At 49.4% G+C, this 22,393-nt stretch overlaps 2 protein-coding genes across 15 annotated transcripts in view, besides 4 other annotated features; both read right to left on the bottom strand.

Annotated features, from left to right (window-relative positions):
* Positions 1 to 4,249, bottom strand: part of DGKD (diacylglycerol kinase delta) — a 117,605-nt gene extending 113,356 nt beyond the window's left edge. For 5 of the 8 annotated variants that reach the window (XM_011512028.4, XM_011512029.4, XM_011512033.4 and 2 more), the window contains exon 1: positions 1,420 to 1,642. In XM_011512028.4, the coding sequence (XP_011510330.2) occupies positions 1,420 to 1,455 (36 nt within the window). In that variant the 5' untranslated portion in view covers positions 1,456 to 1,642. Of the gene's footprint in view, positions 1 to 1,419; positions 1,643 to 3,083; positions 3,614 to 4,068 lie in introns of those variants that run through there. The other 3 variants (NM_152879.3, XM_047446097.1, XM_017005138.3) reach the window with 2 other exon arrangements.
* Positions 4,060 to 4,299: a silencer, noted in NCBI's record as "silent region_12470". NCBI's record gives its function as "represses an Ori minimal core promoter by ATAC-STARR-seq in GM12878 lymphoblastoid cells {active_cell/tissue: GM12878}" and the evidence as "EXISTENCE:reporter gene assay evidence [ECO:0000049][PMID:35858748]".
* Positions 4,550 to 4,599: an enhancer, noted in NCBI's record as "active region_17341". NCBI's record gives its function as "activates an Ori minimal core promoter by ATAC-STARR-seq in GM12878 lymphoblastoid cells {active_cell/tissue: GM12878}" and the evidence as "EXISTENCE:reporter gene assay evidence [ECO:0000049][PMID:35858748]".
* Positions 4,740 to 4,799: an enhancer, noted in NCBI's record as "active region_17340". NCBI's record gives its function as "activates an Ori minimal core promoter by ATAC-STARR-seq in GM12878 lymphoblastoid cells {active_cell/tissue: GM12878}" and the evidence as "EXISTENCE:reporter gene assay evidence [ECO:0000049][PMID:35858748]".
* Positions 9,143 to 9,242: an enhancer, noted in NCBI's record as "active region_17339". NCBI's record gives its function as "activates an Ori minimal core promoter by ATAC-STARR-seq in GM12878 lymphoblastoid cells {active_cell/tissue: GM12878}" and the evidence as "EXISTENCE:reporter gene assay evidence [ECO:0000049][PMID:35858748]".
* SAG (S-antigen visual arrestin) overlaps positions 11,688 to 22,393 on the bottom strand; it is a 39,240-nt gene continuing 28,534 nt past the window's right edge. For 4 of the 7 annotated variants that reach the window (NM_000541.5, XM_011511593.4, XM_011511596.2 and 1 more), the window contains 5 exons: positions 19,990 to 20,067; positions 18,265 to 18,288; positions 16,417 to 16,472; positions 12,331 to 12,340; positions 11,688 to 11,936 (listed from right to left, as the gene is read on the bottom strand). In NM_000541.5, the coding sequence (NP_000532.2) occupies positions 11,831 to 11,936; positions 12,331 to 12,340; positions 16,417 to 16,472; positions 18,265 to 18,288; positions 19,990 to 20,067 (274 nt within the window). In that variant the 3' untranslated portion in view covers positions 11,688 to 11,830. Of the gene's footprint in view, positions 11,937 to 12,330; positions 12,341 to 14,546; positions 15,114 to 16,416; positions 16,473 to 18,264; positions 18,289 to 19,989; positions 20,068 to 22,393 lie in introns of those variants that run through there. The other 3 variants (XR_001738882.2, XM_017004641.2, XM_017004642.2) reach the window with 3 other exon arrangements.

Genomic DNA, 22,393 nt, shown 5'->3' with positions numbered 1-22,393 from the left:
CAGAAAGAAATGAAGTACCGATACATGCCATGACATGGATGAACCTTAAAAATATTATGCTAAGTTAAAGAAGCCAGACCACATATTGTATGATTCCATTTATGTAAAATGACCAGAATCAGCAAACACAGAGACAGAAAGTAGATTCTTGTTGCCTATGGTTGAGGGAGTTGAGAGGAAACGGGGTGATGAAAATGTTCTAAAATTGACTGTGGTGATGGTTGCAAAACAGCGAATATACTAACAACCACTGAACTGTATCCCATGTGAATTATATCTCATAAAACTGCGGTGCATTTTTTTAAGTTTTTTACAACTTAAACCCTTTACCTAATTTTTACTAGTCTTCATTTCACAATGGAAAAAATGCTTTGTTTAAATTTAAAATCAGGAATCCAAGCACTTTCATGCTCATATCCAAAAAATGTTAACTTTCTAGAAACTTTTAAATAAATTAAACTCTTTTAACTGATAGCTTTGCAGAATTACACGGTTCTTCACTGAAATTTCAAAATACCTTATAATGTGCTGGTGAATGTGCTGGTCGGAGTGTTAGCTCCATTTTCTTTCTTTCCATTCTAGCTATGCAGTTCTACAGAGTCATTACTGTGTACTGTAGTCAGGAAATACAAATGAAGTAATGTCTTTGCTGTGGACAGCTTCAACTCTAAAGAGCTCGAACATATTAAAAAATCAGACATGCATGAAATGCTAAACTGATAAATGGCCATCACAAATCTGCACACATCAAATTTTCAATATGCTAAAGATCTATAACCTGAAGAATTATTTGAAGTTTGGAGAGGCTTCTCTTTACATGTGTGCCATAAGGTCTTGTTTTTCAAAGTCTGGTCCATGGACCAGCAGCATCAGCATCTTCTGGGAGCTTGTTAGAAATGCATATTCTGCCAGGTGCATTGGCTCAAGCTTATAATCCCAGCACTTTGGGAGGCTGAGGTGGGTGTATTACTTGAGCTCAGGAGTTTGAGACCAGCCTGGGGAACATGGGGAAACTCCATCTCTACAACAAAATACAAAAATTAGCCAGCATGGTGGCATTTGCCTGTAGTCCCAGCTACTTGGGAGGCTGAGGCAGGAAAATCACTTAAGCCCAGGAGGCAAAGGTTGCCGTAGCTGAGATCGCACCACTGCACTCCAGCCTGGGTGACAAAGTGAGACCTTGTCTCAAAAAAAAAAAAAAAAAAGAAAGAAAGAAAGAAAAAGAAATGCACATTCTAAGGCCCCACCCACCCTAGACCTACTCAACCATAATCATCATTTTAACAGGATCCCTAGGAGATGTGTCTGCACATTAAAATTTGAGGAGCACTGCCCTAAGACATTCTCTTTTGTTTTTCTCTTCATTAAGACAGCTCTGACTTGCACTAGACTAATATTTTAAAAGCCTGACATACATACAGTTCTGGTCCTGGGCCAGCTTGTCCTCAGATCCATTCTTTGTCCTTCTGCTCCAGTCCAAGTTGTGGAGGAGGTGACCCCAGCAAGGCCAGGGTTCCCAGGCAGGAGGGGAACAGTACATCCGCAGCAGCAGCTGTGCCCTTGCAAGGCTCCAGCCACTGCCAGATGGACCCCTTGTGACCCCAGTTTTTGGTGGGTGACAGCTGTCCCTGGAGTCTGAAATGCCATCTCCTTCCTTCACCCTCCAACTTAGGGGTGGCAGCAGTTTCCTGCTTGTTGCCTCATCTCCGGCTTGCCTCATTGCAGCCTGCATTCTCAGTTCTCACATCACCTGTGTGACCACTCCCCTAGATTACATTCCTTCTGTTCCAAATACTTAAGGTGAGTTCTGTTTTTCTTTTTAGACTCAGACTGCTACCCCATACCATTTTTGATGTTTCTATTATGTACCATAGATACCAGAGGAATTTTGTGAATGGCTTATCTGCTGGAAAAAAAAAAAATGGAGCTATTACATACAGTCAACCTCGCATTCCCACATTCTGACAATCTCTTAACAACTCAGAAGAAAAATCAGCCTTAAGCTATCTGTACAGCAGATGTGACTGTATTCAGAAACTCTAAGTCCTCGGGGTGTATTTTTAACAGTCTACCCATCACTCCTCCTCAACCAGAACAGCTGGTATAGCAGCTATTGTTTTAGGAGAAAAAAGAAGGAAAGCAAAAACACCTCCTAACCAACAAAATTCTAAACACTGGAATCTCCCAGGAATCAAATCTCTCTCAACACAATCTTGATCTTAATCAACCTTGTAAATCACATGATCTACCCCACACTGGTCAGTACCTTGCCTGGGCAACAGGAGAAAGCAACTCCTATCAGTATCATTTAGGGCTATGTGGAGATCTTCCCAAAAGCACATCTGATCCATCACCCCCATACTTTGAACAATCCTCTGTGGCCACCTCTTGCCCAAGGCCAAAAAGCAAACCCCTCAAAGGACCACCCCTTCGAAATTCAGCCCTAACCAACCCTTCCAACTAATAAGTCTAATCAACGTGATCCACCTCTGGCCCAACTTCTGATCATTTCGCAGTTGTGCCTAAAGCTCTAGACGCAAGGTTCAAATATGTAGAAGGCCATTTCTTACCCACTTAGCCTGGTGAATTCTTTATCCCTCAAGATCTCACCTTAAAGGAAACCACTCCTGCCTCCCCAGGGCAGGTCTCTGCCCCGAGTTTCCGCGGCACTTACAATGTTGTCATGTCAGGTGCACAGGCGTCCATCTCCCAACTAGACTGAGAATCCCTAGGTGTAGAAACTGCCTTCCATCTTACGGTCCTGACCATGGTTCCAACACACATCCACATTTACGACCTGTGACACCCTGGGCAAGTCATTTAACCTTGATTCTATTTCTATTCCAATTCCAAAAGACGGAGATGATAGCATCCAACTTATTGGGTTCTCACCAGTACTAATAAACTAACCATGTCAAGTGCTGTAAAGCTAACCCAAGAAAGTGCCTGGCACATAGAAGGCTTATTAAAGAATTGTTATTTGCTATTGCTATCATTATCATCACTACTGCTACTGTTATACCCGGAACAAAGCAGGTGTTCGGTACCTATTTGCTGAATAACTGGAGCACTTCACAACAAACCTGTTTGTAACATGTTAGGACCTCAGGTTCCCCCATCGCAGGTATCAAAGGCTGACAGAAGAGAAGGCTCCCACGGTGAAGGGAACGGCTGAACCTAATCCGCCCCGGAGGAAAAGCGCACTGCAGCAGGAGGAGAAAGTCCGTGCCAACCGGATCTGCCAGAGCTGCCCCAGGGACCCAGCCTGCTCGCAGCCACCTGTCCAGCCACCTGCCTGAGGAAGCAGTGTTCTAACCGGGCGGGCTCACCTGGAGCAAAAACCGTAAGCTGTTTTCAATAGGAAGCACAATGGGAAAACAAACGGTGCAACTTTCCTCCTGCAAAAAGGACGTGCGTCTTTATCTAACATTTAGCGTCAGGAGTTCTCCGTGGAGAGTTGGGTGCCAAGCGGGTGCGCGGTCCCGGCTTTGCTGAGAGAGACGGTCACTGAACGCGCATCCCTTCCTTCCCTTTTGGGATGAAGGGGTGAAGGGGTGATCCCTCGCACCCGGGTCCGAGCGGACTTCTGAGGGCACCACAGGGAAGTCTGCAGGGCACTCGCGGGACACCACCCGACCGCTCCTGAGAAACGTGCAGAACCGGGGTTTGGGGACCGCGGACGCCCGCGGGGCGCAGCCGGGAGCCCCCGCGTGGGACCCGCTCGGTGGCACGAGCGCAGTCCCCTGCATCTAGGCCTCAGTTTCCTCCGGGTCCTCGCGGCCCAACTCGGCGCGCGCCCCCCGCCCAGCGCGCGGCGCCCGGGGCGCCCACCTGCGCGCCCCCCGCCCGGCCCCACAGCCGCCCGCCGTCCGTCGGGGGCCGCGCGCTCCGCCCGGGGCGCCGGCCCGTTACAGCGGCGGGGCACGCTCGACAGGGGCGGTGACGCCCGCGGGACCCCGGGCCGGGCCGAGCCGGGCCTGGGCGGCCGCTCGGGCAGGGCCACGGGCCTCGGCCGGGGCTGCCGCGGCGTGAGGGGCGCGCGCCCGGGCCGCCGCGCCGCGGGCTCACCTTCTGTCGGATCTGACCCGACGTGGACACCTTGCGGATGAGCTTCTGTGGGGAGCCGGGCTCCGCCTCGGGCTCGCTGTCGGACGACTCCTCGGGCGGCGGCGGCGGAGGCGGTTGCGGGGGACCCGGCGGAGGGGCGCCCGCCGCCGCCGCCATGCTGCCGGGCCAGCGCGCGCACCGCGGGCGGGGGCGGGGCGGGGCCGGCGGGAGGGGCGGGGCCGAGGGCGGGCCGGGCCGGGGGCGGTGGGGGCGGCCTCCCGCCTCTCCCCGCCGCGCCCCCTGCCGGCCATGCGCGCAGCTGCAGACGGCGCCGCGCGGCCCCTCCCCGCCCCCACCTGAAGCGTCCCGGGCCCCCCGCCCACCTCTCCGGGCCGTGGCTTCTGTGTGTTATTTCTGGAACGCCGTTTGTGTTCTTGTTTCTATATTCACTTCTTAAAACATCTCTACTCTTCCGCATCAGAATGTAGGTAACCTCAGGCAGGCTGGGGCTGTGTCTGTCCTGCCCAGCCTTGTGTGGCCGAGTTTGGGGCGAGCTCGAATGCGCGCGCGCGTGCTGGAAAGAGACCCCGGTACTGGGACGGGCCTCGGGACGCCAGAGCTGGGATGCACCGCTCCATCTGGGAAGGCTTCCTGGAGAAAACGGTTCTTAAGGAGAGATGGAAAATGTGAGCAGGAGTTGTGACTAGAGAGGGAACCATGTTCTAGGCAGAGACCAGATTTGTGCAAAGGCCTGGAGGCAAGAAAGAACGAGTGTTGGGCGAAGACGGGGGAAGAAAGGGAAGCTGGTGCTTAGAGCAAGGAAAATGGCATTAAGATATGAGCCTCGGGGCGGGCAGGTCGAAGCGGGCTTTGGAAACCAGATAAGGGGATGGAAGGCAGCAGGAAGCCCTTGAGGGATTTAACCCTGGGCGGGGCTGGGTCACCACGCTGGGGCCTGTGATCCGGGCTTTGAAGTTATCAGGGCAGGTGGACGCCCTGGATTACCGAGGGGCTGAGAGATAGAGACGTGGACTGAGATCCAGGTGGGGAGTGACCAGCGACTGGAGGGAGACAGAGGTGACCAGAACGAGTCCCATGTTTCCCAGGGGGGCTGCTGGATGGTGGGCGGGTGGGGTCCAGCGCTGCTCTGGGCAGAAGAGGAGGAAGCGAAGCTGGAGATGAGATCAGCTAAGTTTTTGGTGCCATCCAGGTGGAGCAGGGCTTGGTGCCACCCAGAGGAAATGCTGTCCATCTGTCTGCCCTGCTCTGAGGGGCAAATCAGTAAGGGACTGCCCAGGTGTGCCCTCTCCCTGTCAAAGGGCTGCCGCTAGAGACCTCGCCTGCCAATAGGCATTCGCTGGCCGCGCCGCCCTGGGCAGTGACCTGGGGCTGCAGAGTGGCATCTGGCATGGGGACACGGCCAGGGGCATGGGCTCACGGCCAGGACAGAGGAGGACAAGGCCTAAGGCAGGAACAGTCCGGGACAGGCCGAAGGCCCCATGGTGCCCCAGGGTACTATAGCCACTAGCCACATGTGGCTACTTAAATTTCAATTAGTTAGAATTCAGCATTCCGTTCCTCAGCCACAGGAGCCACATTTCAGGGACTCAGTAGCCGCATGTGGCTTAGCAGCTGCCACGCTGGATAGCACAAATATAAAACACTTCCCCCGTCCCCCCAGAAAGTTCTGCAGCACAGTCGCATGCTGAACTGTGTCCTCCCGTAATTCATATGTTGAAGTCCTAACCCCCAGTACCTCAGCATGTGACTGCATTTGGAGTTAAGGTTTTTAAAAAGGTAATGAAGTTAAAATGAGGTCACAGGGGTGATCCCTAATCCGGTATGACTGGCGTCCTCATAAAAAGAGGAGATGAGGACACAGACACACACAGAGGGCAGCCCATGTGAAGACACAGGGAGAAGATGGCATCTACAAGCCAAGGAGAAAGGCCTCCGATGGAACTCCCCCTGCCGACACCGTGATCTCGCACTTCCAGCCACCAGAACCGAGAGCGTCAATTCCTGTGGTGGAAGCCGCCCGGCCTATGGTGCAGTGCTCTGGCAGCCCTAGGGAACTCATGCAGGCACAAAGGGCTCCAGCCTCCCCACAGGGTTGGGACTTTTCTATCAATTAACTACATGTGGAGTGATACACAGAGGCAAAACCCTGGAGGAGTGTGCAAGGCGGAGGAGGGGCGGGGACGCACAGGGGAAGAAACAGTTCATTCCTTCATTCCGCGGGGGAGCCGGGTGACCTGAGCAGGGTTTGGGATTGGAATGGAGAGGTCAGATATGAAGGGAGTTTCCCAGGAAAACGCAAAAACGGGGAGACTACCCCTACCAGGTGAGCAGAGCGGGTGACGAGGGATTTTGGTGAAGCCGGTAGCAAGGCGGGTGCGGGAGGCAGGGAGGTGAGCAGCGGCGCCAGGATGCAGAGTAGCCTCCCGGCCCTGCTCTGAGGCAAGGACTTCAGTCCCGTGGGCACTGGAGCTGGCAAGGGGGTTTGGGAAAGCAGAGGAACTCATGTGTCTGGGCAGAGAATGATCCATAGGAGAGAAGACTAGAAATAGGGAGGCCATTAAAATGCTGTTGCCGGCCGGGCGCGGTGGCTCACGCCTGTAATCCCAGCACTTTGGGAGGCTGAGGCAGGCGGATCACGAGGTCAGGAGATCGAGACCATCCTGGCTAACACGGTGAAACCACGTCTCTACTAAAAATACAAAAAATTAGCCTGGCGTGGTGGCGGGCGCTTGTAGTTCCAGCTACTCGGGAGGCTGAGGCAGGAGAATCACTTGAACCCCGGAGACAGAGGTTGCAGTGAGCCGAGATTGTGTCACTGCACTCCAGCCTGGGCAACAGAGCGAGACTCCGTCTCAAAAATAATAATAATAATAATAATAATAATAAATGCTGTTGCCTACACCTGTTAGGAGCTCAGGGGACATCCAGGCCCCAGAACTCATCATTTTAGAGTCAAGGAGGCAAGGGCATGAACGTGACGGTTAAGAAGCAGAAACCGTGGCTGGAGAGGAGGAAATCTGCAATTACCAGAAAGTACTGAGATTGTCACAGACAAGAGGAGCCAAGGAGACATGATGACTAAACGTCACGTGGGTTCCTAGATGGGATCCCAGAACAGAAAAAGGACATTAGGTAAAAGCTGAGGACATCAGAATTAAGTATGGGGCTTTAGTTTAATAATAATGCATCAATATTGATTCCCGGGTAGGAGGAGGGTGAGGATTGAAGAACTACCTATCGGGGATTATTGTGCTGATTACTTGGGTGACAAAAGTATCTATCTGTACACCAAACCGCCATGACATGCAATTTACCCATGTAAAAAACCTGCACATGTACCCCCTGGACCTAAAATAAAAGTTGGAAAGAAATAAGTATATTTTACTGGAAACAACATTTGAGTCACTCAGTGTGGCAAATGTACCCTACTCATGTAAGGGTTAATAATAGGGGGTTTTGGGTGTGGGGGACCTCAGTATAACATCTTTGCAACTTTTCTGTAGATCTAAAACTACTCAAAATAAAAAGTGTATTTTAAAAAAAGAGGATTAGGCTTGGTAAGAATTATATTCTTAAAGCAAAGAAAACTGGCATAAATGTTCTTTGATGATGAAGCAGCTTTTTTGTTCTCCTGGTGAGCGCACAGCGCTGTTCCCCTGGAGATCTCAGGAAGGGCTGAGACATCAACTCCCCCAAAGCGGTGGCCTGGAAGAGCACATTCCCTCCGGTGCCTCTTTATTGAATGAGTCACACTATGAATCATCTCTAACGACAGCCTGCTCCCTGAGTCTACCCCACCTTGAGGGCATATCAAGATGGCAGTAATAACACACTTCACGTCCAACCTAATTCTTCTTTGTGACACGTCAGTGAAGAGGCGCAACTCCTGTCAGAAAGAACCACTTCACATTGGAGAATATAAAAGGGAAACTTGAAAACATGGGAATCATCCAATTTTTACCCTGAACTAGGGTCATGATTGTCATTTGGAGCAGCACATTTCTCCACTGCATGTGACATAGAGCTTCTGGTCCCCAAGCATGTGAAAACCAAAAACCACCATACACATTTCCAAATGTCCCCAACTCCCACCCCGCACCTGCCCTACTCCTCAAAGATCAGTAAATGCGACTCAGTCCTGTGAAATGAAACTGGAAGGAAGAAAGGTTTTTTAAATGTTAAAGGAGTAGGAAAACAGACACCCTAAAAAGGAATTAACCACACATGTGACAAAATTGCAGAGAACTGAATACACACACTAGTACAAATCCAGTTGTGGAGATCTCAGTCAGATGAGCAGACTGGACCCACGTCGATACCCCGCTGGGATATTGTACTGTAGCTTTACATGATGTTGCCACTGGAGGAAGTTGGGTAAAGCGTTCCTGGGGTCTCTCCGTATTACCCCTTACAACTGCATGTGAATGTGCAAGTCTCTCAATGAAAATTTCTTTTTTTTTTTCTTTTTGAGATGGAGTCTCGCTCTGTTGCCCAGGCTGGAATGCAATGGCACAGTCTGGGCTCACTACAACCTCCACCTCTTGGGTTCCAGCGATTCTCCTGCCTCAGCCTCCTGAGTAGCTGCGATTACAGGCACCTGTCACTATGCCCAGCTAATTTTTTGTATTTTTAGTAGAAACGGGGTTTCTCCATGTTGGCCAGGCTGGTCTTGAACTCCTGACCTCATGATCCGCCCGCCTCGGCCTCCCAAAGTCCTGGGATTACAGGCATGAGCCACCTCGCCCAGCCTGAAAATTTCAATGGAAAAAAAAAATAGCAAGGGCCAAGGGCAGTTGTTGTTGAATCCTAAATGCTAATCTCCCTCCCCCCACTCCACCAAACTCTCCTACTTCCATTCAGCACCATACAGTGGGCAAAGGTCTAGTTATAGACTCAGGGACACCAGCATTCAAGCCTTGACTCTCACTAGCTGTGTGACCTATGTGTAAGGTACATAACCTTTCTGAACCGCAATTTCCTCATCTAAGAAATATGAATGATGCTACTGATTTATAAGTACTACTGAAATGGTTACATGTCAGATGTGAAGTACTTGGCACAAGGTAGGCACTCCATCAATAGCAGGGATCCATCCCCCTTCTCCAGCCCTTCATTGCTGGTTGCAGAACTTTCTCCATGCAGCACCTTCAACTGCTCTGTACCCCGTTTCTTGCACTGCATCTGTCCCAAAAACTCTGGGCCACACATTCAACCTGCACGTAGACTTCCTGCCTCCTGATACCAAGGGACACTACATGCCAGTAGACAGCCCCACACATGTGCAGGCTGAGCTGAGCCAAGCTTCCACTTTCTGCTCAGGGCAGCTGGCTGCTCGCTTCCTCCCCCAACTCCCTCCCCAGCGTGGCCAGCTGCAGGCCATAAACAAGCCAGCACCTGGAGGGCGTATCGAGACATTTTGGCACCAAAATAACTAGGAGGGTAAGGGCTGTGCTGACCTCTGCTCTCCAGGGATTGGTCTTCCAGCCCTTCCCTCCAGCTCTCTCACCCACGTAGTTCCAAAGGTCGGGCTTATTAACGTCCACCCTGACTTAGGATGTCCTGGGGTCAAGCAATGCAGGAACCAACGGGCTGGTCCTCTCACCAGGCACCACAGGGCAGAATCCCAGGCCCTGGGCTAGCCCAAGAGCTCTAGCAGGAGCTAAACACAGCAGCCTGTGTGCTGTGGCAGAGGACAGGGGAAGGGCTCAGTGCAATGGGGAACAGCTTTGGGAATCCTCAGAGGAGTGTGCCACCCTGGCCATCCCTTGTCTGCGTGCCCTGAGGGGAGCATGGGTTGAAATGGTCGTGCACCATTACCTTAGCATAGAGAGAAAAAGAACGAGGGACTGTGTCTGATCCTGCTAACTCGCAGCCTGAAGGACCAATCTTCCACCTGTAGTCTAGTGTATTATAAATCCTCCTCCCAATGCCAGGATGCGTGAGCCAGCACACGGGTCCACACCTCGCTTTGTCTGGGATCCCATCCAAGCTTCCCAAGTGGAGCCTCCTCATCTAAATCCCAATCTCCAGGACCCGAACAGCTGGAATCCTTCTGAACAACCCCAGATGCTGGGAACCTTCATGTGTATGGAACCCATACCCTGGCCAGCCCTCTGTCGCCATGTTCCATCCCAGAAGCCTGATCCACGTGTACTCCCCATCTAGAACCCCTCCCACTCACCCTCTGCCTTCTGTGAGTGGGTTGAACTGTGGAGGAATCTCCAACCCCCCTTTACCCTGCTCCCTTAAAGCATGGACCAGAGATGGACCAGAGCCTATGCATCTCCATCCTCTCCTTGGCCGCCATGAGCCTGTTCAGTATCTGTGCCATCAGCAGCAGGCCCGGTGGGTACCTCAGGGCAGGAAGGGACCCCACAAAGGAAAGGCCCTGGTATCACCTCTATTATCCCTCCTCCACCTGCAGTTCACCTTCCTCCCTGACACTCAGAGTGCTCTCCCCTATGCCTCTCACGCCCAGTCTCAGTGAAGCACGCTCTAAGTAAGCCCATGTGACTCACAATCAACCCCCTTTTCTGGGACTCTCCATCTCCAGGGCTGGGCTCTGCCATCGCTGACCACGGGGTGTTGATCCTCCCAGCCAAAGCTGAGCCAGTTGGATTCTCCTTCCCAATAACTGCCCACTGGGACCAAGAGACGCAGAGCTGGGAACGTATGGTGCTGAGCTGCATGAAGAGCCGCCCTGGAGAGTGGGTCCCTGACCCCTGAAGCTTCTCTGATTCCTGCTTACCCCAGGTGTGGCAGCTCAGGTTTGTCCTTCAGTTCTCTGATCACACCGGGGTCCTCCCACTACATTCCTTCTCCCCACCTTAATTTAACCAAATCTGATTTTGCTTCTTGCATTGAATAGAACTTTACCAACAACCCAAAGCTCAAACAGACACCTGGACCCAAAAGTTGAATCATTAACCAAGAGTATTTTTGTCCACAGATGTTCTCTGCCCTATTTAACTTAGGAGGCTCTTTAGGGGCCTGGAAGTTGGGACTGGTCAGGTAATTAGAAACATACACTGGTGGCCAGGCGCAGTGGCTCACGCCTGTAATCCCAGCACTTTGGGAGGCTAAGGTGGGTGGATCACCTGAGGTCAGCAGTTTGAGACCAGCCTGGCTAACATGGTGAAACCCTGTCTCTAATAAAAATACAAAAAATTAGGCGGGCATGGTGGCACACGCCTGTAATCCCAGCTACTCAGGAGGCCGAGGCAGGAGAATGGCGTGAACCCGGGAGGCGGAGCTTGCAGTGAGCTGAGATCACGCCACAGCACTCCAGCCTGGGCAACAAGAGCGAAACGAAGGAAGGAAGGGAGGGAGGGAGGAATAAAGGAAGGAAGGAAGGAAGGACAGACGGACAGACGGGAAGGCACTGTTTCCAGAGAAACAGCTCAGACTGGGACTCCTAGGAAAGCCCCTGGACACACCGAGGGCCCCACCTGGTGAGCACATTGATTTCCAGACGCCTTCTCTCCCTCATGGGAGTGGTGAGCCCTTCCGTGGGAGGCTGGCCTCCCTCTCCCCAACCCTCCCACTCCAGGGACCCTAATGGTGGCAGCTTGTGTCATGTCATCAACTCAGCCTCCCCAACAAATCAACCAACTCATGACCCAGGGGAGAACAAACAAGCTTTATTTCTCGGAAGAAGACTCATCCTTTCATACGCAGCATAACTCCAAAGGACTAAACTGTGGGGCTTTGCTCGTTGCACTGGTAACTACAGGTCATTTTCCGGCATCCTGAGCCGACATCTTCACTCATCAACGTCATTCTTGTCTCTCTTCCCCTCCTCAGCTTCTCCTGCATCTTTCAGATTATGGCGAGCAAACTCCTCAAAAACTAAATTTGCATCCTGATAACTAAAATAAAACAAACAACATTTTGATCATTGCACGCCCTTTGAAGCTGAAACTGAAACAAGATCCTTGATCTTTTTGCAACGAAGGAACTGATCAAGGTTTTCCCCATGATAGAACATGGGGGCACGCCATTTTCCTCAAGGCTTCGTTTAAAATTCCTTTAACTAGCACCAATGGGAGAAAACAAAGGCACGCGCAGAGTGAGCAAGCACACCCAGTGTAATGGTGCGTGCGTGCCGTAAGCACTAGGGAGCAGACGGGAAGTAGCGGATGTGCCTCCTGAGCCGGCAGGAGAGCTTGGGATATGTGCAAAGACTCAAAGAGGGTTTTGTGCTGGAGGAGAAGGTCCCAGAGCATAGGACAAATCAGGGCCACATTCAAGAGGCTCACTCACCTTTCCTTAGCTGTAAGCATGGAATAAAAGGGAGGCAGGGAAGAGGGAGAGAGAGACATTTGTTAGTCTAAATTCTATATCATAGCTGTACCTAGAAAATGTCTACCTTTTAGGTGACTTTACAATTTGAGAGATAAGGCCTAGATACATGCAGTTCATGATCACTGCGTGTAATTCCTGCCTCCCTGCCTTTCCCACTGGAACAGCTTTTCTCCTTGCATTTTATTTATTTTATATTTTATTTTATTATTTTATTTTATTTGAGACTGTCTCTCTCTGTCACCCAGGCTGGAATGCAGTGCCACAATCTCTGCTCACTGCAACCTTTGCCTCCTGGTTTCAAGAGTTTCTCGTGTCTCAGGCTCCCAAGTAGCTGGGATTACAGGCATGCGCCATTATGCCTGGCTAATTTTTGTATCTGTAGTAGAGAAGGGGTTTCAACTATGTTGGCCAGGCTGGTCTCAAACTCCTGACCTCAAGTGATCTGCCAGCCTCAGCCTCCCAAGTGCTGGGATTACAGGCGTGAGCCACTGCGCCCGGCCTCTCCTTGCATTTTAAATCACTGCTTCCTTTACAATGTGCCACAGCCTTCACCTCCTCACATGAAACCCCCCCAGTCTCAACTCTAGGATGCTTTCCCTGATCAGCCTTGCCCCCTCTGATGTCGCTTCTCCTTTCTTATTTATTTATTTGAGATGGCATCTTGCTCTGTTGCCCAGGCTGGAGTGAAGTGGCACAATCTCGGCTCACTGCAACCTCCGTCTCCCAGGTTCAAGTGATTCTCCTGGCTTAACCTCCCAAGTAGCTGGGATTACAGGCACCCACCACCATGCCTGGCTAATTTTTGTATTTTTAGTAGAGACGGGGTGTCACCGTGTTGGCCAGGCTGGTCTCGAACTCCTGACCTCAAGTGTTCCGCCCGCCTTGGCCTCCCTGCCCAGCCAGTTGCTTCGCCTTTCAAAGTATTTCTCCTTCCATGTCCTCGGGACCCCATTGAGGTCAGGGTCGCCAGGGTGCCGTGAGCATGTGCACCCTGGCACCTCCATCTGTCAGGCTTCAGAGGCCTGAGACCTGGGACTTGACGTTCACCAGCACCCCAGGGTTAGAGTGTGCATTAAAGCTTGAGGACCAACCCCCAGCCGCAAAGTTTTCAATTTCTGTTAACATATTGATTTTGTTGTTGTTGAGTTATGTTTTCACATGTGTTGTATCCCCAGACTAACTGCTATTAATTTGAATGGTTTTTGTACTTTTTTAGCTTTCTGCCCACCTAGTTTTGGGGAGCACAGCGGCGATTTGATGGTGAGCCCCTACTCTCGCCTCTGGTGCCCACCTGGAAGCCAGCACTGGGAGGGAGTGTCTATGAGGGTCGCTACGTACAGGGGCCCTAGAGAGGCTAGCTTGTCAAAACATCCCCTGAGCAAGAAATACCCTGCGGCCCACAGTGCTCAGCGAAGAAATTACACTAAGCGGGACCATCAGCCTTGCAGAGGTAGACAACAAGGAAGAATCAAATCAGCATCTTCGGATTCAGTAAAGATGCCCTTGACAGGGGACAATAAAAACTTGGTAGCATGTCACAGCACTTATTACACACAAATTACTTGGTCCCCAGGCTCCAGCAGGGCTTAACTACATATAGCTTATGCTTTCTCTGCTTAGAATCCTACCAGCCTAGACTCAGGGAGCCGAGAACTAGGCAGAGAAGACAGGAGAGATGACATTTATCTCTAGAAATCTCATCTATCTCATATCTATCTCATATCTCTAGAAATCAGAATTTTGTAACCATGGGGTGATTTGTCTTAACCTTTGCTCCCAGAAATCTCACAGTACAAAAGATCATTGTTTCATCCTGACATTGTGATATGTTCACTGTTAAGGCCATAATGACTGGAACGTGAAAGTTGTATATGGAAAAGAATTTAAAAAAATTAAGTCAGGCCGGGCACGGTGGCTCACGCCTGTAATCCCAGCACTTTGGAGGGCTGAGGCGGGCAGATCACCTGAGGCCAGGAGTTTGAGACCAGCCTGGCCAACATGGTGAAAACCCATCTCTACTAAAAATACAAAAATTAGCCAGGCGTGCTGGCGCGTGCCAGTAATCCCAGCTACTTGGGAGGTTGAGACAGGAGAATCACTTGAACTCGGGAGGCGGAGGTTGCAGTGAACCGAGATCATGCCACTGCACTCCAGCCTGGGTGACAGAATAAGACTATGTCTCAAAAAAAAAAAATTAAGGCATAAAGTCTACTCAAAGTTCCAGAAAACAACCCAACATAAACTATGACATCTCCTCAAGTGACTATCTTTTTAATGTCCTTGAAAGGAACCAGAAAGCATCTTAATCCCACACCATGAAAAAGTAACATTTTAATGACACAAGCATAAATGAACTGAAAACATATAGCTGGACTACATTTTTCTCCAAGGGACAGTTTTGGAAAAGTTCATTGAGGATCTGAATCCAAAGTATTTGGAAGAGCTATTTTGAAACAAAGTACTGTTGAGACAAAACCTAAAATGAATAGTGGGGGCTCATTCTAATGTTTAAACGGCATTTCACTACCAATATAGAAAAGCTATTTGTAAAGTATGAGAAAAATAAACCCTGCTTGTTTATACCACTTTTACTTAAAATATCCCTTATTCCTATACCTACGGAGAGTTCTCATTTAGACAGATCTGTTTTTCTTTCCCGTCAACTAAGCTGCCTCGATGCAGAGAATGTTTCTTCAGAATTTCTGAGATTTCACCTATATTATTTTTGCTGCTTCATTTACCTTTTTAGAAAGAGAATGATTGAGATCAAATTCATATATCATACAATTTACCTTTTCACAGTCGACAGTCTAGTGGTTTTTATATGTTTTCAGAGTCATACAACTATTGCATCATTTCGCATCCATACAAGAGCCAGTAGATTTATAATTCAAATGAGCTGAGGTGTCAGGAACCCAGCCTGACCCTCTTTTCTAGTATTTTCTGTATTCTTACCATAACTGCCACTGTCAAAAATAGTTATCTTCAGGCCGGGCGCCGTGACTCACGCCTGTAATCCCAGCACTTTGGGACGCTGAGGCGGGTGGATCACCTGAGGTCAGGAGTTCAAAACTAGCCTGGCCGACATGGCGAAACCCCGTCTCTACTACAAATACAAAAATTAGCCAGGTGGGGTGGCAGGCGCCTGTAATCCCAGCTATTCAGGAGGCTGAGGCACGAGAATCACTTGAACCCGGGAGGCAGAGGTTGCAGTGAGCCGAGGTTGTGCCACTGCACTCCAGCTGGGTGACAGAGACTCCATCTCAGAAAAAAAAAAAAAAAAAAAAAACCCCAAAAAAAAACAGTTATCTTCAGCCAGGTGCAGTGGCTCATGCCTGTAACCCCAGCACTTTGGGAGGATGAGGCAGAAAGATCACTTGAGCTCAGGAGTTCAAGACTAGCCTGAGCAACATGGCAAGACCTCATCTCTACTAAAAATCAAAAACATTAGCTAAGGGTGGTGGTATGCCTGTAGTTCCAGCTACTTCAGAAGCTGAGGTAGGAGGGTGGGTTGAGCCCAGGAGGTTGAGGCTGTAGTAAGCTTGATCACACCACTGCACTCCAGACTGGGTGACAGAGTGAGACTCCGTCTCAAAAAAAAAAAAAAATTATCTTCTTTTAAATGTCTGTTAATGCTTTCAAATGAAACATGAGGCCTTTTGTTTCCAAATGAAATGCAAAATCCTCGTGCTCTAAAATTAAGTTTTTACCTAAATCATCTTTAATTCTAAATCCAGGTCTGTTGACAGCAGAGCTTCTGCTCTTAAATCATTCATGATAAAACCTCACGAGATTGTCCCTGTCCAAGAGCAAGGATGCTACATCTTGCAGACTCCAGCTGAAGGTGGATAATCTACCCGGCTCAGCGCTGAACAGATGGGCCCTCCCTTCCCCCCAGACTATTCACCTTGTAGATCACATGGAATCTCTTACACCTGGCCACTCCCATGCTCTGAGATGCGGTCAAGAAAGACTAGAAATACATCAACAATAAATCTGCAAGTAGCAAATAATTAAAGAAAGCTAAAAAAGGACATAACTGACCTGGGTCCTCAGGCTGAGGGTGCATGAGGCGGAATGGGACCTCAGTGGCGACTTCACTAGAAAAAAAGAATGAAGATTGGTGTGAACACCCATACACACAATTGTAAGTAACACAGCAAAGACCTATGGCTGCGGAGAGTCACAAAAGATCCCCAGGCCCAAGCTGAAAGACAATGCAGTGGGAACTTTTTTTTTTTTTTTTTGAGATGGAGTCTCGCTCTGTCGCCCAGGCTGGAGTGCAGTGGCGCAATCTCGGCTCACTGCAACCTCCACCTCCTGGGTTCATGCAATTCTCCTATCTCAGCCTCCCGAGTAGCTGGGACTACAAATGCATGCCACCATGGCCTGGCTAATTTTTGTATTTTTAAAAAGTAGAGATGGGGTTTCACCATGTTGCCCAGGCTGGTCTTGAACTCCTGATCTCAAGTGATCCACCTGCCTCAGCCTCTCAAAGTGCTAGGATTATAGGCATGAGCCACCCTGCCCAGCTTCATCATTTTAAAGTGCACAATTCGGTGGCATTAAATACATTTACGCTGTTATGCAACCATCACCACTATCTAGTTCTAGAACATCTTTATTACCCAAAAAGAAAATCTCATCCCCCTTAACCAGTCACTCTCATTTTCCCTCCCTATAGTCCCTGGCATAACCACTAATCTGTTCTCTATCTCTATAGATTTGCCTGTTCTGGATATTGTGTGTAAATGGATTCATACAATATGTGGCCTTTTGTTATTGGTTTCTTTCACTTAGCGTAGTGTTATTAGTATAAGGTTTATCCATGTTGTAGCATGTACTAGTACTCCATTCCTTTTTATGGCTCAGTAATATTCCATTGCATGGATATACCACATTTTGTTTATCCCATTCATCTGTTGGTGGACATTTGGGTTGTTTCTACCTTTTGGTATTGCAAATAGTGACAGCTGCCTTTTAAATTATGCACGAAGCAGCAGCAAGTTAAGAAACATTTGAGACAGGCATTGAGGTTATGTACTGCATCATCTCAGCTCTTAGTCGGGCATAGTGGCGTGCACCTGTAATCCCAGCTACTCAGGATGCTGAGGCAGGAGAATTGCTTGAACCAAGGAGGCAGAGGTTGCACTGAGCCAAGATCATGCCACTGCACTCGAGCCTGGGCAACAGAGCAAGACTCTGTCTCAAAATAAAATAAAATAAAATAAAACAAAACGGTTAAAATGGTAAAATTTGCCAGGTGTGGTGGCTCATATCTATAATCCCAGCACTTTGGGAGGCCAAGGCAGGATCATCACTGGAGGTCAGGAGTTCGAGACCAGCCTGGCCAACATGGGGAAACCCCGTCTCTACTAAAAATACAAAAATTAGCCAGGTGTTGTGGCACACGCTTGTAATCTCAGCTACTCAGGAGGCTGAGGCGGGAGGATTGCCTGAACCCAGGAAGTGGAGGTCACGGTGAGCCGAGATCACGTCACTGCACTCCAGGCTGGGCCACAGAGTGAGACTACATCTCAAAAAATAAAATAAATAATATAATGGTAAAATTTATGTTATGTGTATTTTACCGCACACAAACACACACACACACACACAAGCTGGCTGCATGGAGTGTGCCAGTTTTCTGGGTGTGTATGTGTGTGTCCTTACCCAGGCATAGGTCTAGCTGTGGTCCCAAAGAAATCTGGTCCCAAAGAAACGCCTATGAGCCACGGTTCTGTGATGCATCCGAAGGCAAAGCATCATTCCTAACACCTCTGAGCACAACTGTCCAGAAAGCAGCTTTCATCAGAAACCGTTTTGGAGCCCCAAGTTTGCTGCCTTTGATATCTTGAGAAACAATCAAACAAGGAAGGTGAACAGGCTTACCTGGAGGTGAGCTCTCCCAGAAAGCTAGAAAACACAAACAAACGCCTGTCGTTAACTGTCACAGTGGTAACACGACCCTTTCCCATGATTCAGAGGCAGGACACAGCCCAGCTCTCATGGCCCTTGCACCCGAACTCACAACATCCAGGGTCTTCCCATCCCTTAATGTTCAACTTCATTACCTGTGACTTCATCTCTTTCTCAAGATGATTAGTTTAAAAAGGCCGGGCATGGGGGATCATGCCTGTAATCCCAGCACTTTGGGAGGCCGAGGTGGGCGGATCACTTGAGGTCATGAGTTCCAGACCAGCCTGACCAACGTGGTAAAACCCCATCTCTACTAAAAATACAAAAATTAGCCGGGCATGGTGGCAGGCGCCTGTAATCTTAGCTACTCGGGAGGCTGAGGCAGGGGAATTGCTTGAACCTGGGAGGTGGAGGTTGCAGTGAGCTGAGATCATGCCACTGTACTCCAGCCTGGGTGACAGAATAAGACTCCGTCTCAAAAAAAAAAGTTGGCTGGGCACGGTGGCTCACACCTGTAATCCAGCACTTTGGGAGGCTGAGGTGGGCAGATCACTTGAGGTCAGAAGTTCGAGACCAGCCTGGCTAACATGGTGAAACCCCGTCTCTACTAAAAATACAAAAATTAGCCAGGCATGGTGGTGGGCACCTGTAATCCCAGCTACTCAGAAGCTGAGGCAGGAGAATCACTTGAACCTGGGAGGTGGAGGTTACAGTGAGCCGAGGTCATGCCACTGCACTCCAGAGTGAGAGATTACATCTCAAAAAAAAAAAGTCAAGCCCTAACATTCAAGATAAGTCACAAGAGGTCATTGTGAAATACCTGCTGGTTGCTTTCCTTGACTGCTAAAAGAAACTCCACCCTGTTTTTAGATCCTTTTATGCACTATCCACAGTGAAAAAAAAAAAAAAAAAAACACTATGCTAACGAAAAATGCAAAATAGACCCATGTTCTACTTTGTTAGAAATTTGGGAAACTCTTTTTAAACGCTTATTTTCCTCAAGGGAATTCTTTACTACTTAGAAGTATGAAACCTAGGCACAGACTTGCCTTTGATGGCAGAACTACCCAAGGCTCATCCAGGTAAAAGGCCAGAGCCTTTGGCAATGGAATTTGAAACGAAAATGAGAATTCAAGTTTTTCCCTTTTGGTAAGATTAAACAAATGGAAGAAACTGGCTTCACATGAAAATGAAAGTGGAAACCTGTTCCCTTAAAACTCTGAGATATTGGCACTCTTGTATGAAAAGAAGACTCCTGTGCCCTGTGATTACATGTGTGAGAGGGGAGGGGAAAGTCCCCACTTTATGGATGGATACCTTCTAAGATGCAAAAACATGAAGATTTACTGAGAGTTCTTTCACAGCAGTTATTCTTTTCTGAAGGATAACATTTGACTAATCCTCATTCTTGCACATCAGCTTCTACCACATGCACATATGCACACGTATTTTTGCAAAGTGGCGCTAAGAATGCACACATTTCAGAGTCTGCTTCTCCACCCTTTCCCACCTGACATTTTATCAGACAGAAGCATGGTACTAGACAAACAGAATCTCTCCCAAGCTCTACTTGGTAATCCTTGGTAGAAGCTATGGGCCTTTCCTTGCTTTCTGTCTCCCAGTCATTCAGGAAAGGAAAAGTTCAGACCATCTAAGACCAGGACAGAGCAGCCCGAGGGTTGGTGCCGGGACACTTACCCTGACACTGTGAGCTTCACCTTGATCTGGTAAGACACCAGGATTCCCAGGACGGTCCGGTCTATGCCCTCCTTAATGCTGCCCAAACAGAAGGGAAAAGGAGAATGATGGAGAGCAGAGGAGGGTGAAGAGCAGATGGGCAGCCTTTCCATTCGAGGCAGGCATGCCGTCATGGAGGTTCTCCAGGGACTGGTGAACTCACTGAGCTTCCAAAGTCCTAGAAGTTCATGTACTTGGGGAGTGGGTATGGGGACTCCTTGCACGCACTGGAGGAATTCCTGTGTCTTCTCCTCTAGAAGTTCCCAGAGGGCAGAGCATGCAACCCCCTTCTCTGTGCTTGACCTCTATAGATGCACATCCCCCGGTCATCCTCCTCAGCAACTCCCTCCTACCACTTGCCAAAACTGCAAGTCCCCAAGTCCTCCAGCAGGCTTTGCCTGCCTGGATTATCTCAGTAACTCATCTCCCACGTGCCAGGCCCCTTCTCTGAGCTCTGTGGCCATCTGCAGGTTCAGCCTCAGAAGCAGCCTGTGAGCTGCCCTGGCCTGCCTTTGCTACTTCACCCCCAGCTGTGTCCCAGCGCCCCCCGCGCCAGTCTTGCCAACACAACCCTGCACCAGAATGCCCCCTCCTTCTCTCCTGCCTTCCAAGATATCCAGCTGTGTGTCCCCAGCACCCAGCATCAGACCTGGCACCAAGTGAGAGCTGTCAATGTTTAAGTGAATGAGCAGGATGTGCGAGACCCTCAGATGTGCCCCAAAGACAGTGCAATGTGACGTTCCTTGACAGAAATGTCATTCCAGATCCCACTAATACGTACTGAAGTTCTACTATCTGGCAGGCACTGTGCCGGGCATTTCATCACAGATGCTTATCGCGTGGGATCCAACGCGGAGGACATGAGTACTCCAGGATGTCCAATAACAGGAATTAAGATATGAAAAAAATCATGAAATGCTAACAAAAATCATGTAAATAATGATAGAAAAAAAGCCCAAGAAACCTGAAGGCTACAGGCAGAAGGCAGGGAAGGATGGAACAGCTCTGGAAAAAGAGTTGGGGCGGCGGCCAGCAGGTGCTGGGCCTGGAAGAAGACGTCAGCTCGGGAACCTCTGAGGGGAGGTGTCTCAAGCACGTGTTTCCAGGACCACAGTGCTCCCCAGAGAGCTCCTTCAGCTCACTGGCGTCTGGAGCTCATTTAAAAGAGGACAGAATAGCCAGACGTCGTGGCTCACACCTTTAATCCCAGCACTTTGGGAGACGGAGGCGGGCAGATCGCTTGAGTTCAGGAAATTCAAGACCAGCCTGGACAACATGGCGAAACCCCATCTCTATTGAAAGTACAAAATTAGCCAGGCGTGGTGGTGGGAGCCTCTAATCCCAGCTACTCAGGAGGCTGAGCCAGGAGAATCCCTTGAACTTGGGAGGTGGAGGTTGCAGTGAGCCAAGAACGCGCTACTGCACTCCAGCCTGGGTGACAGACTGAGACCTTATCTCAAAAAAAAATAAAAATAATTTTTAAAAGAGGACAGAATATCTTTATCTGGACTTGCGGAGTATGGCCAAGTACCTGGTGAAGAGAGGATACCTCCAAAGGGAAAAAAGGGGTACAAGCTTGAGATCCCCCTCTTTGCTGGGATTGACTTTTTTTTTTTTTTGAGACAGGGTCTCATTTTATCACCTAGGCTGGAATGCAATGGCATGATCATAGGTCACTGTAGCCTCGACCTCCTGGGCTCAAGCTATCCTGTCATCTCAGCCTCTCAAATAGCTGGGACTACAGGCACGTGCCACCATGCCCAGCTAATGTTTTAATTTTTTGTGGATATGGGTTTTCGCCATGTTGCCCAGGCTGGTCTCAAACTCCTGGGCTCAAGCGATTCGCCCACTCTGGCCTTCTAAAGTGCTGGGATTACAGGTGTGAGCTACTCCTCCCAGCTGAGATTAACTCTACCTTGCGCTGAATGGGGCCAAGCAGCTGCTGAACTGAACATGCTCTGCCACGTGCCTGAGAACACCCTGCAAGTCAGAACCCCTGGCATCTTCCTGGGCTGGGAGATTTGCTGTGGAGTGGACTTTGCTCTGCTATTAACTGATTCAGTGACCTTGGATAAGTCTTTCATTCTGGCTCAACCTCAATTTCCTTACCCATAAAATGCATATAAATATACCTTCCTCATGGAGGTGTGGAGAGTCATAAATGATTTTTTTGTTTTGTTGGTTGGTTTTTTTTTTTTTCTGAGATGGAGTCTTGCTCTGTCACCAGGCTGGAGTGCAATGGCACGATCTCGACTCACCACAACCTCCGCCTCCCGGGTTCAAGCGATTCTCCTGTCTCAGCCTCTCGAGTAGCTGAGATTACAGGCACCCACCACCACACCTGGCTAATTTTTGTATTTTCAGT

Source organism: Homo sapiens, chromosome 2, assembly GCF_000001405.40.
Source record: "Homo sapiens chromosome 2, GRCh38.p14 Primary Assembly".
Taxonomy (NCBI): Eukaryota; Metazoa; Chordata; class Mammalia; order Primates; family Hominidae; genus Homo; species Homo sapiens.
Note: the sequence above shows the minus strand (reverse complement) of the source record. Positions and strands in the feature narration are given on the sequence as shown.